At 47.9% G+C, this 14,575-nt stretch overlaps 1 long non-coding RNA gene across 1 annotated transcript in view; it reads right to left on the bottom strand.

The window, feature by feature from the left end:
- Positions 1 to 9,168: 9,168 nt before the first annotated feature.
- The window catches only part of LOC105376223 (uncharacterized), a 38,343-nt gene continuing 32,936 nt past the window's right edge, over positions 9,169 to 14,575 (bottom strand). Inside the window, exon 3 of the long non-coding RNA XR_930254.3 lies at positions 9,169 to 13,480. This is a non-coding gene — a long non-coding RNA (uncharacterized LOC105376223). The remainder of the gene's footprint in view (positions 13,481 to 14,575) is intronic.

Here is a 14,575-nt window from a genome sequence, read left to right as displayed (position 1 = left end):
AGGCAGAGAAAGGGAGCCTGTGTTCTATTCTGGAGGTCTGTGTATGTGCATGAGTGTGTTTGCATGCACATGTGTGCATGTGGATGCCTGTGTGTCTGTGTATGTACGTGTGTGCATGTGTGAAAGCTTTGTGCTTATATGCATGTATATGTCCATGTGAATGTGTGTGCACATGCATATGAATGTGTGTGTGCGTTTGTGCTTTTATTCCATGAATGTGTATATTGTGCATGCATGAGTGTATCCATGTGTGCATTTGTGCAATTGTGTGCATATCTGTGAGTGCTCATTGTATGCATGTGTATGTTAGTGAGCACATGCTCATATGCATGCATGTACAAATGTGTGTGTGCATGTGTGTGTGTGTGTGTGTGTGTGTGTGTTTGGGAAGTCTTGCTATCACGTTGGTCATCCCTGCCCCTGCCAATGTCAGCGGCAAATCAGGTTTCAGGAGCAGTACACCACTTGAAATTTGGGCTTCTTACAGCACTTAGTAGGTGTTAATATTTAAGTCAAGCCTACTAACTTGGGTTCTTGCCCAGGGTACTCACTGTCTGATTCCCCACAAAAGGAAGAGTTTAGGACCAGGGATTGAAAGTGGGGTTCCATTTTTCACCAGTAGAATGGGAATTTCTTTCCTTCCTTTGTCTGTCTTTCCTGCCCATGATTCTTCTCCCTCCTCATTCCTAGCTCTGTTGCTTCATTCCAGCCACATTGCCCTTCCTTCAGCTCCAGGGGTCATTCTCCCCACTTGGGACCTTTGCCCAGGTGTTCTTCCATGATGAAGCACTCATTTTCCAAATCTCTTCCTATGTGCCCCCACGACCCAAATATCACCTCCCTCTGCTTATACCATGGGTCTCTGCTTAGACTATCATCTGCTGGAAACCTTCCCTGCTCACTCGTAGCTTTTATTTTTGTAACAGCTTTATTGAGACATAACTCACATATCATACAATTCACCCATTTAAAGTATACAATTCAATGATTTTTCACGGGGTTGTGCTACCATCACTACAATCTAATTTTATAACATTTTCATTCTCCAAAAGAAACACCATAACCATTAACAGTCCCTATACCCGCCTCCCGCAGCCACCCACCTGTTTCTGTCTCCACAGATTTGCCTGTTCTGGACATTTCATACAAATGGAATTATACTGTAGGTGGTCTTTTGCAATTGGCTCCTTTCATTTAGAATAACTTTTTCAAAGTTCATCCATCTTGTAGCATATATCGGTACTCTACTCCTTTTTATTGACAAATCACATTCCATTGAATAGATATACAGCATTTTATTTATCCTTTCATCAGCTGGTGGCCACTGGGGCTCTTTGCACCAAACTTTTTGGCTATTACAAAAAATGCTGCTATGAACATTTGTCTACAGGTCCTAGTGTGGAGATATATTTTTCTTTCACTTGGGTTTATACCTAGGCATGGAATCTCTGGGTCATATGGGAACTGTTTAACCCTTTGAGGAACCACCAAACTGTTTTCCAAAGTGGTTGTACCATTCTACACTCCCACCAGCAATCTATTGAGTTCCAATTTCTCTACGTTCTTGGTTTTCTAGTAAAATCATCCTAATGGGTGTGAGGTAGTGATTTTGATTTGCATTTCTCCAATGACTAATGATGTTGAGCATCTTTTCACATGCTTATTGGCCATGTGTATCTCTTTAGAGAAACATTTATTCAAATCTTTTCCCCATTTTTTATAATTGTCTTTTTGTTGTTGAGTTGTAAGAATTCTTTTTGTATTTCTGGGTATAGACCTGTAGAAGACTTATGATTTGAAAATATTTTCTCCTATGAGTTGTCTTTTCATTTTCTTGGCAGTGGTTTTTGAAGCTCAAAATTTTAAATTTGATAAAGTTCAATTTATCTATTTTTTCTTTTGTCATTTGTGCTTTTGGTGTCATATCTAAGAAATCATTACCTAACTCAAAGTCACAAAAATATATTCCTATGGTTTCTTCTAAAAACTTTATAGCTGTAGCCCTTATATTTAGGTGTATGATCCATTTTGAGCCATTCAAATATTTATTGGGCAGTTACTATGTGCTGGGCATCAATTTAGGGGTGGGTATATATACTTTAATATACCAGTGAGCAAAATGAACAACCTTAAAGAGCCAACATTCCAGTGGAAGAAACAGATAATAACCAAAAAAAACAAACACACAGGATAAGGACAATTTGAGCTGGTGTTGGTGCCCTGAGGAATGAAACCACGTGGGACATTCAGGAAACAGTTTCTGTACTGTACTGGAGCTCTGGAGCAAATGTTAGGGGCGGCAGTGAGAGACAAGGTCACAGGAGGTGGCTAAAGGATCCTTCTAAATCTACCCAGTTTATTTATCATAATTAATTATTACAACATTTATTTTAATGTTTAATTATTGTAATTTTGATCCTTTGTCATTTCTCTTATTACTTGTCTCATCAGTACTATTTATCTCATTTTACTGTGGGATGCTGCCCCTTCCCACTCCTGGACCCCTAACAGACATGAAAAATCAATCCAGGGTTCTCACCCACTAAGCCTCTTGGTGTCCCTGGCTAGCAACTTTCCTAACAGCAATACAGTCTTATTAAATTAAATGGAAAGGCTCAAGGAGGAAGCACCCAAACAAAGCCTCTGGGTTCCCAGGCTTCAACTTCTCCTACCACCCATCTGAGGTTGGCAGCCAGGCCATTGCTGGAGGAATGCGATACATTTTCTGCACAATTAGGTTTGTGACCAGTAGGAAGCAGTAGAAAGTACTCTGACAGTACCTGAGCAGTGCCTTGTGTTACTTACTAAAACCCTCTTAGATTAGATAATCCACATGATGATTTTTATGGGCAATCCCCTAACTGTCTCTCTGAAAGGCTCTGCTCTTAGATAGCTATTTCTGCCTTCCGTTTGGATAAGATAACGTCTCAGTTAATCCATTTCTGTTTGCCTCTGCTAAAACTTCTCCCTTAATCTTCATTATCTCCTATCATGTGCTTTTGTTGGGACTTTACTGAACCAGATTCACCCCAAGGGCCTCCACACAGCTCTAAGAAGAGGAGATAAAATTCAGAGCAACTTGGAGCTTTGCTGGTTTGGGAACTAGGTTGGTTGTCATTTACCTGAAGTTTTATCAACTGGACCCTCAGGTTCCCAGGTCATAGGAAAATCCCTCAGCCTGACACATCTTCCCTTTGGGGGGTCTGTGGCTACTTTGTGGGATTCTCTCGGCAATAGAAAAGGACAGAAATGCAGGCCGGGCGTGGTGGCTCACGCCTGTAATCCCAGCACTTTGGGAGGCCAAGGCGGGCAGATCACGAGGTCAGGAGATCGAGACCATCCTGGCTAACACAGTGAAACCCCGTCTTACTAAAAATACAAAAAATTAGCCGGGCGTGTTGGTGGGCACCTGTAGTCCCAGCTACTCGGGAGGTTGAGGCAGGAGAATGGCATGAACCCGGGAGGCGGAGCTTGCAGTGAGCCAAGATCGCGCCACTGCACTCCAGCCTCGGCGACAGAGCGAGACTCCATCTCAAAAAAAGAAAAGGAAAGGACAAAAATGCAACTATTAGTCTGCCACAAGGGCTCTTATGTCAGGAATCAGCATTTCAGAATTTTAATAGTAATTAGAGTCATCTCCTTCTGAGATAGCAGACAGAGTTCATCTTGCAGATTATCACCAACTCTGTCCCTCGGAAGAAGGAGAATCCATTAGTCTACCTTGGCTGAGTATGAAAGAGGGGCCTCTCTGCTGGTGGAGATAGCACTCCACCAGGAATCAGGAGACCTGGGTCATGTACCATTGGGCAAGTCTCTGGGTCTCAGCTTCTTCCAGATAAAAAATGGCAAATTTGGCTTGAACGGTCTCTAAGATTCCTGGAGAACTAAGCTGGCTTCCAAACGCATGCACACTTCAGCCACAGTGCTTGGTGGCAACGTGTTCACTTTGGTAAGGAGGAAGAAGAAATTTACTTTCTAACAAGATCACTGCTGTAGGTTTAGATCTGCTAAGCCCACTCCAGTTGCCACTTGCCACATGTACCTATTGAAATTTCAGTTGGTTTAGGGATGGGCATGGTGGCTCACGCCTGTAATCCCAACACTTTGGGAGGCTGAGGTTGGCGGATCACCTGAGGTTGGGAGTTCGAGACAAGCCTGACCAACACGGAGAAACCCCATCTCTACTAAAAGTACAAAATTAGCTGGGCGTGGTGGCACATGCCTGTAATCCCAGCTACTCGGGAGGCTGAGGCAGGAGAATCACTTGAACCCAGGAGGAGAAGGTTGCGGTGAGCCGATATCGTGCCATTGCACTCCAGCCTGGGCAACAAGAGTGAAACTCCTTCTCAAAAAAAGAAAAAGAAAAAGAAATTTCAGTTGGTTTAAACTAAATACAATTCAAAATACAGTGCTTCAGTACATCAGCCATATTTCAGGTGTTCAACAGCCACACATGGCTAGTTGCAACCGTATCGGACGGTGCAGATAAAAAACATTTTCATTCTCCAAGAAAGTTCTAACTGACATTGCTGGTGTAGATAGCATTTTCTCATCACTCTCTTGTGACCTTCTGTTACAATTCAGGGAGATGAGGGGAAGGGGGCTAAGATTAAGGCATTTCATTCCTACTCTGCTTTCACATACCCATCGAGCACAATCCACTCGACATCTTGTCAAAGAAAACATCATTATTTCTTTTTCCTAGATAGACAAACTGTGGTCGGTGAAGCACAGGAATTTGCTGAAAGTTACTCAGCTGGTAACCCACTGCGCGGCACAGCAGCAGCAGAGGAGGCCCAGGCATTTGCCTGTTGCAAATAAGGAGACCAAGGCTCAGGAAGTCACGTGGCTCCAGCCAGGCATCCCTGCCCCGCAGTGGCTCAGCAAGGCCTCTCGCCACTCCGGGCAGCAGGGACCCATGAAATAGAGGCTTCCAGGGGCTTCCTGCAGGTGGTCCTGCGCTCCAGGAGGAACATTTTTCTGTGTGGAAAGTGACAAATTAACAGAAAATTCATGCTTTTTCAGTGATGAAAATGAAAATGTCTAATTTGCTAGTCAAAAGCATTTCCCTGTTTAGAGATGAGTAAATTTGAGTCTTTGTTATCAGTGATTCATACAGCACAGTGCAGAGCTTCCTGGAGATCTCTGGCTCCATTCTGTGGTCCAGGAATGGTGTACCTGGCTGTCGCAACTGGCCAATCCCCAAATTCAGTCTTGCCTGATCTCATTGCCAACACTGCTGGGTAATTTTTTCTTTTTTAAAGGAAAGTCTGCCATGGAGGAAGGACTTGTGTGTGTTTGCCTGTTTCACAGTGTCTGGAGCTGTCTCATTAGGTCAGAGAAATGGGAGAACCTTTGAAGGAAGGAGGCTTCTAAGTGATGTTTGCATGCAGAACACTGGATTGGGTGGGTGTCAGGAAATCCAGGCCCTGAGCCTAGCTTGCCTCTTCCTCCTTGAGCCTTTCAAGTTAATTTAATAAGAATTTATTGCCTTTAGGATAGTTGCTAGCCAGGGAAGCAAAACAGGTCTCAGCTGTCATAACAACTTCAATTGATTGGTGGTGACTACCTAGAGTGCTTGATGGAGAAGCATTCTGAAGACACGAAGAGACAAGAACCCCTGATTGATTGCTCATGTCTGGGGGGCCCAGGAATAGGAAGAGGCAGCATCCCACAGTAAAACGAGATAAATAGTAATGATAGAAATAATAATAACAGTAATTACAATAAGGCTTTCCTGGTCAAGTCATTGGGAACATCAAGTAAAATCATGGATGTGAAGGTGCTTTGGGAACTGGGCAGAAAGACTCATGATGTCTGGACTCAATTATTAAGGGCTTTGGTTGTGAATCATGAGTTCCTTGTTCATGCGACTTAAACATTTTTCCCAGAGTATTGCCCGGCCTTGTCATGAGCCTGGAGGCAGCAGCGATGTGGAAGGAGACTCGTGGGTGAACGCACATTTGCGCATTCATTTCTGCAGTCACTCTTCACAGCTCTGTTCATTTGTTAAGACACATGTCAAAGGGCCTTTAAAGGTCCAGGTACTGACACCAAGACAGGCCTTCCTGACCCCTCCCTCCTCAGAGCTCCTGGAATACAAGCAAGTTTCGGCAAGTTTTGATCCATCGTAGCATTTAAAGTTCATTGGAATAGCCACTTTATTACCAGGATGGGGAAAATGAGAGAAGGTAAGAGACATGTACAGGTTCACATAGCAAGTTCCTACCAATGGTACCCTGACCCTAATGCCAGCTCCCTGGGAGTGGCTTTGCATAATTACCTCTAAGCCTTGTCATCACCCCACAAGGCAGGGGTTATGGTTCCATTTTATGGTTTTAAAAAACTGGACTCTGGGAGGGGAGGTATTGACCAAAAGCATAAGCAGCAGAGGCAGATTTCAAGCCAGATCTGTCTGACTCCATAACCTCGGGTCTTTTGACCATTGTACAGAGCCAGCAGGAGCTACCAGCAAAGGCTCAGAGCCTGGGGTTCTGTCCAATGCGTCACACAGTCAAGGCAGGGGGGACCTCCTGGGTCAAGGCCCTCAACCTGGCAGGCTCTTTTAAACTCCTTCAAGAGCTTGAAGCTAGTCCACTGCTGGGTATCTCTGTACTGAGGGTGGCACCTCATCCTCAGAGGAATAGCCTGAAAAGGAGGTGGGAGAGAGTTGGGAGCCAAGACCCTTAGGAGAGGTCAATGGGGACATCTCAGTGTACTTGACACCATGAAGGAGCTATGGAGGGAGCCTGCAGACCCGGACTTTCCTGCTTATCAGTTGTGTACCCTAAAGAAAGGCACCCAGAGCCCAAAGCCTCAGTATCCCCACCTGCAAAATGGGGCAATTAAAACAACAGCCAGCACTTACCGGGGAGCACGTTGAATTCTCAAACTAACTACGGAAAGTAGGTGTTACTAATATCATCCCTACTTCACATAGGAGGAAACTGAGGTGCAGAAACGCTGCATGACTCTCTCAAGGTCATTCAGCACTGAGGTTAGAACCCCGGCAGCTGGATTCCAAAGCCTCACCCTTCCAGCGCCAGGAAAGACTACATGGTGAGCCTCCCCCACCCACGCAGCAAGTACACAACCCTTGCTTACGAAGTGGTTTTGATAAACACGCTTGTGTTCTCTGGGGCAGTATGCATCTCCATGGTTTCCTAAAGAGGAAACAGATCGGAGAGGGGCCAAAGTCAAGGCAGCTGCAACGCAGGGTGCGAACCTCCCCTACCGGCTCTCCAGGGTTCCCGCGGGTGAGGGGAGGACGGGAAGGGGTTATCTGGGCTCCAAACCGGGGAGTGTAGGCCTGAGTGTGCGGGCTGCAGGGTGAGATCGCCCGCTCCCTCCCCTGACCCCCACCCCCAGCTGGTCCTCAGGGGCTGCGCTGGGAGCTCGACAGAAGCGCTGACTCCGCAGTTTCCGACCCTCCGTACCCCGGAGCGCGAGGCACCGCGCAGCCTGGAAAAGTCCCCAATTACACTCGCCCGCGACGGCGACGCCAGGCCCCTCGGGGAGCGTTTATGGAGAGCCCAGGGCAGGAGAGATCACCGTGGAGGGAAGGAAGGGGGAAGAGGGCCGAGGACAGGGCACAGAATTACTAGAAGCCGAGAAGGTGACAATGATCCACCTTGTGCGGGTGGCTGCTGAACAGAGCAGTTGACTCCCGAACCTCCACAGCAGCGCCTCACTCTGCCTACACACCCCTCAACGCACGCAGAGCGAGAAATTCTGCAGATGGGAAATGGAAAGGGGTGGGTGGTGGGAGGAGGAGAGAGAAAGCCACTAGAAAGGGCACCTATACACTTCCTGCTCAGAAGGAGAAACTGAGGCCCCAGGAAGGAGAGATCCAGGAGTCTTCATTCCCTGGAGAGGGTGGGATTCCTTCCTTTAAAAGGTGATGCAAGACCAATATCCACATTCCCTCTTCCTTCCTCCCCACTTCCTCCTCCACCCTCCTCCCTCCCTTCCCCATCCTCCTCCCTGCTCTCTGCCTTCCTCCTCACTCCCCTCTGCCTCCCTCTTCCCTCCTTTCCCCACCTTCATCCCTTCCCTACCCTCCTCTCTACTCTCTTCCTTCCTCCTCCCTCTTCCCTCCTCTCTGCCTACCTCCTTCCTCGTCTCTGCTTCCCTCCTCCCTCTTCTCTGCCTTCCTCCTCCCTCCCTTCCCCACCCTCCTCTCTGCCTTCCTCTTTCTTCCTCCTCCTTCCTCTCCCCACCCTCCTCCCTGTCTTCCTCTTCCTTCCTCCTCCCTCTTCCCTCCCTTCCCCACCCTCCTCCTCCCTCCTTTCCTCTTCTCTGCCTTCCTCCTCCTTCTTCCCTCCTCCCTTCTCTCTTCCTTCTCTTCCCTCCTCCCTCCTCCCTTCCTTCCTCTTCCCTCCTCCCTACTTTCCCCTTCTCCTCCGCAGCATTTACAGAGGCTTCAAGAGGAATTATCCCAGTGTCTGCCTTTGAAGGGGTCCCAGTTTTCCCAATAGCCTTGAGAAGTGCTCCCGTGTCAAATCCTGGCCTTGTCCTTTGCAGAGAGGGGTGGCCCTGCGGCTTCACAAGGCTTGGGGGGAGCAGGAGAGAATGGAAAGAACCTGACAGGGTCTGCGCTGGGCCCCCCTTCCCTCAGAGCCTGTGCCTCCCCAGCCCACTGGGAGACCTGGCTTCCAGCCTCAGCCCTGCAAGACAAGTCACTGTGCCGCAGGATGCTTCATTCCCTCCTCTATATATGGGAACAGCCACAACAACCACCCCCCACTGCTTCAGGGGAGTCCAGGGCCCCAGAAGAGCCTGCAGGATCTAGCTCCTGTCTCCCTCAGTGCACTCGCCCTGTCCCTCATATCCATTGCTCCTGCCACATCCCTTCTCTGCAGGTCCCCTAATTTCCATGCTGTCTCCTGACTGCAGGTATCGAACCTGCTCATATCCTCCACCTGGAATGCCCTCCAACGCAATTGCAAATTGAAGAAAAGATGTTCAAGGACCCCTCCTAGCTGGGGGCAGAGTGGGGGCTTGTCCAAGTCTGGTCAAACCAGGTCCCAGAATTCTGTGCAACAGGAGTGCTCCATGGAGTCAGGGTGGCCTTTTTTCTCCTGGACACCCCAGTTCCAGGCCCATATGGCTGGAACTTTGGGTTCCTTTGCAAGGATGAGGACAGAAAAGAGGAAAGAGACAGGAAAATAAATAATCCATGTTTAATCTAGAATGAGAAAACACAAAAAGAACAAAAGGAAGAGAAAAATATCACCCTCCACCCTCAGCGCCCAGAGAGAAAGAGGTTGTGGTTTGGAGCCTCCCAGAGTGTTTTATGCATATATATGTGTATGGTGGGTGTATTAGTCTGTTTTCAAGCTGCTAATAAAGACATACCCGAGACCGGGTAATTTATAAAGGAAAGAGGTTCAATGGACTCACAGTTTGGCCTGGCTGGGGAGGCCTCAGGAAACTTACAATCATGGCAGAAGGGGAAGCAAACACATCCTTCTTCACCCGGCAGCAGGAAGGAAGAAAATTGAGTGCCCAGTGAAAGAGGAAGCTCCTTATGAAACCATCAGATCTCATGAGAACTAACTTATTATCACGAGAACAGGATGGGGGAAACAGCCTCCATGATTCAATCATCTCCACCTGGTCCCTCCCACAACATGTGGGGATTATGGAAACTACAAGATGAGATTTGGGTGGGGACACAGCCAAACCATATCAGTGGGTGTGACCTTCACTCCAGAAACTCTAGATACAAGAAATATCGCCGCATGACTATTTTTCTAGAATCAAAACAAAAGCTGACTCCAGCCCGTCCCACCTGGAGCCAGGCACCTATGGGATCTGCAGACCCAGACTCCCTCCTTAGTCTTGAGGAATCTCTCTCTGTCCTCACTCTCGTTTGTTGCTCAAAATGTCAATCAAATTTTGAGTTCCTAATCTTTTCTCCAAAATCCTGAGTCTTCCTTTCCTCAATAAATGGTTTCTCCAACTGCTCAGTTGCTCAAGCAAGAAATAGAGGACTCACCCTCCACTCCTCCCTCTCTTTTCTCCTTGTCCTCCTGACAGCCAAACCATCACCAAATCCTGTGTGTGAAACCCAAAGCCTATCTGCAGGCTGTCCCCTTCTCTCTATTGCAATAGTCATCTCCAATCCAGTCTCTGCCCAGCAAGCAGAGGGATCTGAGATGCAGGAAATCAATGCTGGTCCTCCTGTTCCACCGCTGTGAGATGCTTCTACTGCTGAGGAGGTATCTGAGCCTTCTGTGCCCACGTGGAACAGCCCCAGCCTCCTTTGCAGGTCACAACGCTCACTGCCTCTACTAGAGCCTCCCTTCAAACACCAGTGCTGCTGGTCATGGGGCACATGCCTGTAATAGCTTGAGACCAGGAGTTCAGGAACAGCCTTGGCAACATAGCAAGAACCGCCCTCTCTGAAAAATAATTTTTTTAAGAAAAAAAAAATAGCCAGGCACAGTGGTACATGCCTGTAGTCCCGGCTACTCAAGAGGGTGAAGTGGGAGGGTTGCTTGAACCCAGGAGTTTGAGGTAACAGTGAGCCCTGATGGCACCACTGCACTCCAGCCTGGGTGACAGAGTGGGACCCTGTCTCTAGAAAAAAATATAAAAATAAAAATAAAAATAAAAAAACACTGCTGCCTCCTCTGGTCATCACAATACCTCCATGAACACCCTTTCCCTTTCCCCCACCAATTGTTCAGATCTCAGGGGAGCTGGGGAGCTCTCACTTCCTCAGGGAAACCTCCCTGCCCACCACCCCAACCCTAGCAGCTTTGAGACCCTGGACCTTCCATCCTCCTTCCCCCCGGTTTGCCGCTTCATTCCTGCCGTGTCTGGCACTCTGCATGTGGTGTCTGAGGGCAGGGACCACAGTGGCTGTCGCTCACTGATCTATCCCCAGTGCTTCGCACAGGGCCTGGCATGTAGCAGGCCTTCAGTCTTTGCTAAATAAGTGAATAAATGAATGAATGCATTTCCAGATGACTGCGACTCACAGCTATAGCACTGTCACACCTTGACCAAGTGTCCCTTCATTCCTATTTCCCACCTCCACATTCAATCCATCAGTGAATCCCATGGACATTAACTCCAAAATATGCACCAAATTCATCCTTTCTGCTTCTACCATGCCCACTCCAACTGGTCTCCTGGCTTCTTCTCTTGTCCTCCCCCATACAGATTATTCACACAGATATAAAGGGCAGCCCCAGTCCCTTTTGAAATAGACAAAATCAGAGTCTACCATGACCCTGCCTCATCCCTTCCAGTGGGCTTCCCACTGCATTCCATCCAGCTGCTTTCTGGTGCCTTCCAGAGCCCTCCAAGGTCTTTTTCCACCCCTTCCCTGACCTGTCTCCCACCTGCACTAACCATACATTCTGCTTCAGTCACACTGGCCTTTGGAGCTTCTCAAAACATGATAAACCCATTCCTACCCCAGGGCCTTGGCACTTCCCCTTCCTCCTGCCAAAGACTCCGCCTTCATGCCCAGCAGGGGCTGTGCTCCCTGGCTCACTGAGGGACACCTGCAGTTCAGCAGGCTGGTGCATAGTAGATGCTCCATCCAGATTTGCCGAATAAGTGAAAGGACCTCTGCATGCCTCTGCATCTTGTACATCTGTTTGGAGCCGAAGTATAGACCCAGATGTGTTATTTTCCCTTGTTAATTACTGCAGAGTAATTATAGTAAGAAGTGTAAGTACAGCAAGCATTAATGGGGAAAAGAACAGATTTCATGCACTAGCTCGCAGAACATTTGAACCAGAGATGGGCCTCCCCGCAGCCTGCTAGAATTCTGGAGGGGGTAATTTGGCCCCCTGAGTCACAGCCTGAGCCCAGCCCACCCCAGTTTTTCACGGCTTCTCGGAAAACCACCTCCAAGCTGGTATCTGCCTCAATAGAAGCCGTGGTGGGGCTGGGGGAGCCTGGGCCTTTCTGGGGTTAAAAATCTTGATTCTGGCTGGGCATGGTGGCTCACGCCTGTAATCCCAGCACTTTGGGAGGCCGAGGTGGGCGGAACACGAGGTCAGGAGTTTGAGACCAGCCTGGCCAACATGGTGAAACCCCATCTCTACTAAAAATAAAAAAATTAGCTGGGCGTGGTGGTGGGCGCCTGTAATCCCAGCTACTCAGGAGGCTGAGGCAGGAGAATCGCTTGAACCCAGGAGGTGGAGGTTGCAGCGAGCTGAGATCGCCCCATTGCACTCCAGCCTGGGCAACAAGAGCAAAACTCAGTCTCAAAAAAAAAAAAATCTTGATTCTATGTGTTTCTGAAAAGCTGGGTGGCATCAGGCAGATGGCTGAACGTCTCTGAGCCTCTGTCTTCCTATCTGTAAAATGAGGATAATTGATATCTCCCTCCTAGGTTGTTGTGGGCCCTAAAAGTGACAACATATGCTAAGTGCCCATTGTGGGTTTCAGCCAAGTTGCCCCCCTTCCCTCCCTTCCCAGTGTGGTAGAGAAAAGACACGGTCCCTGCCTGCCCACTGCAGGCCCTCCTGTGACTCTTCCCAGAAGAAATGGGGCAAGGCTGTCTGTTCATTGATGTGCTTCCTCTATTTTGAAAAACCAGGTTGATTTCAACAAGATTGATGAAAAATGTCTTCAAGATGATTGCTTCAGGCCCAGTGTTTCAAAAAGGAGTTGCTATTGGCAAAGAGGGAGTGCCACATCTTGATGAGGGGGACTGTACAGCTTGTGCGGGGCTGTTTGCCTCTCTGCCCTCCCCAGCCACACCCACATACGGACAAACACTAAATGCCAGTTGCATCCCACTAGGCAGAGAGAACCACAAACGCCCCAGGGCTGGAAACCACCGGGAGAACTGGCCTTGGGAGGTGCAAATGACGTCGGGGAGGAGAGTCTAATGTAAACTGTAAAGTGCTGGAGAGCCAGGGTCATTGCTGATATTCCAGAACCTACTCATTGGTCATTTCCAGCTGCTGGGAAGCGGATCTTGGACTTGAGTTTTGCCTTCCGGATGACCCTGAGACGCCCTCTTGTGGGCATCAGTGGTAGTGAGTGGCAGGTTTTCCAAGTTGCTCTCTCATTTGCAAGTGGAGCCTTGCTTTTCTTTTGGTCTTTTCTTTTCCTTTCTTTCCTTTATGTTTCTTTCCTCTTCCAGTGCTCTTTTATTCAGTGCCACAATTCTTATGAAGATTATATCTCCAAATACCACTTTTCTGTTCTCCAAAGTGTTAGAAGATGAAGATCCAATCTCATATGGATCCTACCTTTAAAAAAATTAATGTATTTTTGCTTTTTGAAGATCATTGTACAAAATTTTGAAAATGCCAAAAAGCACAAGCAAGCCAGTAAAACTCGAGAGTAAGCTTTCTAACTCAACCTAGCAGGCAGCAGGAGAAAGGAATGAGGGTACAGTCTTCCTGGTTCACCAAGTGTTGATATGAGCATTTCCGCAAAACATGTTGGCGATACGAGCTCAATTCTGAGCTCGTGAAGGAGGGTGGACATCTGGGCCTAGGAACTGAATGAGACAAAGCCGTTAGTCACATAACTGAGGATTCCATCTGAGCCTGTCTCCCCACACCCCTCTTTTTCTTCCCACAGAGACCATCCCGTGCAGTTAGTGCAGGGGATGGCATGAGCTCTGGAGTGTTCCATTCATTCATCTGTTCATTCATGGATTCATTCAACAATGCTCAATGATCATCTCTTGTGGGCCAGACCTTGTGCTGGCACCTGGAGATACAAAGCCTAAAATACAGTCCCTGCTACTCAGAACTCATGGTCTAGACTGGACACAGCTAGATAAACAGGAGATTACCAAGCATGCTCTGATGAGGGATGCTCTTACGGGGGTACTATGGGGTACTGGAGGCTAATCCTGGATCCACCACTCCTCAGGTATGTGGACAAGCCACATCCTCACTCTGATCTTCAGTTTCCCCATCTGTAAAAGGGGGATAACAGGACCGGCCTCATCACATTGTGGCGGCGATTGAATGAACATGAAGTACATGCATGAAACGTGTAGCACACAGAGCAGGTACTTGCTAAATACTCCTCTCCATCCATGCTAAATTCTTTCTTCAGACTCTGGAGATCAAATCTGACCAGGATCACCTATGACAGTCAGGTTGCCTGTTGGACTTTTGGGAACATCACAAAATTTTGTATGTAGTCAATGCCAGAAAGGGTGGCCTGGAAATTATCCAGCCAAGTCTCCTTATTTTAGAGAAGAGGAAACAGGGCCCAGAGAGGAGAGGAGTTTGGCCCAAGGTCACACAGAAGATCTGGAGAGCCTCTAGGCTTGGTCATTAAGGTTCCAATCTCTGCAGGGAGAAGGGAGATTCCCTGAACTTGAATCCAAGGCTCCTCAACTTACTGGGTTGGGCAAGTTAGTTCAACTCTCCATGTCTCGGTACCTCCATCTGTAAAATGGGCATAAGAACAACTTCCTTCCTAGAGTGTGTGGGAGGATTACATCAACCAACTCCCAATTCAGTGCTCCATCTACCATACCTAGAATTCATGCAGCTCAGAATTTAGGATAGCAATTCTTCATTCTGAGTCTGTACATTTTGCATCCAGAATCCACGGGTCAGGACTTGGCTCAAGT

The sequence above is a fragment of the Homo sapiens genome, chromosome 9 (genome assembly GCF_000001405.40).
Source record: "Homo sapiens chromosome 9, GRCh38.p14 Primary Assembly".
Lineage (NCBI taxonomy): Eukaryota > Metazoa > Chordata > Mammalia > Primates > Hominidae > Homo > Homo sapiens.
This window is presented reverse-complemented; position numbering and strand designations above follow the sequence as displayed.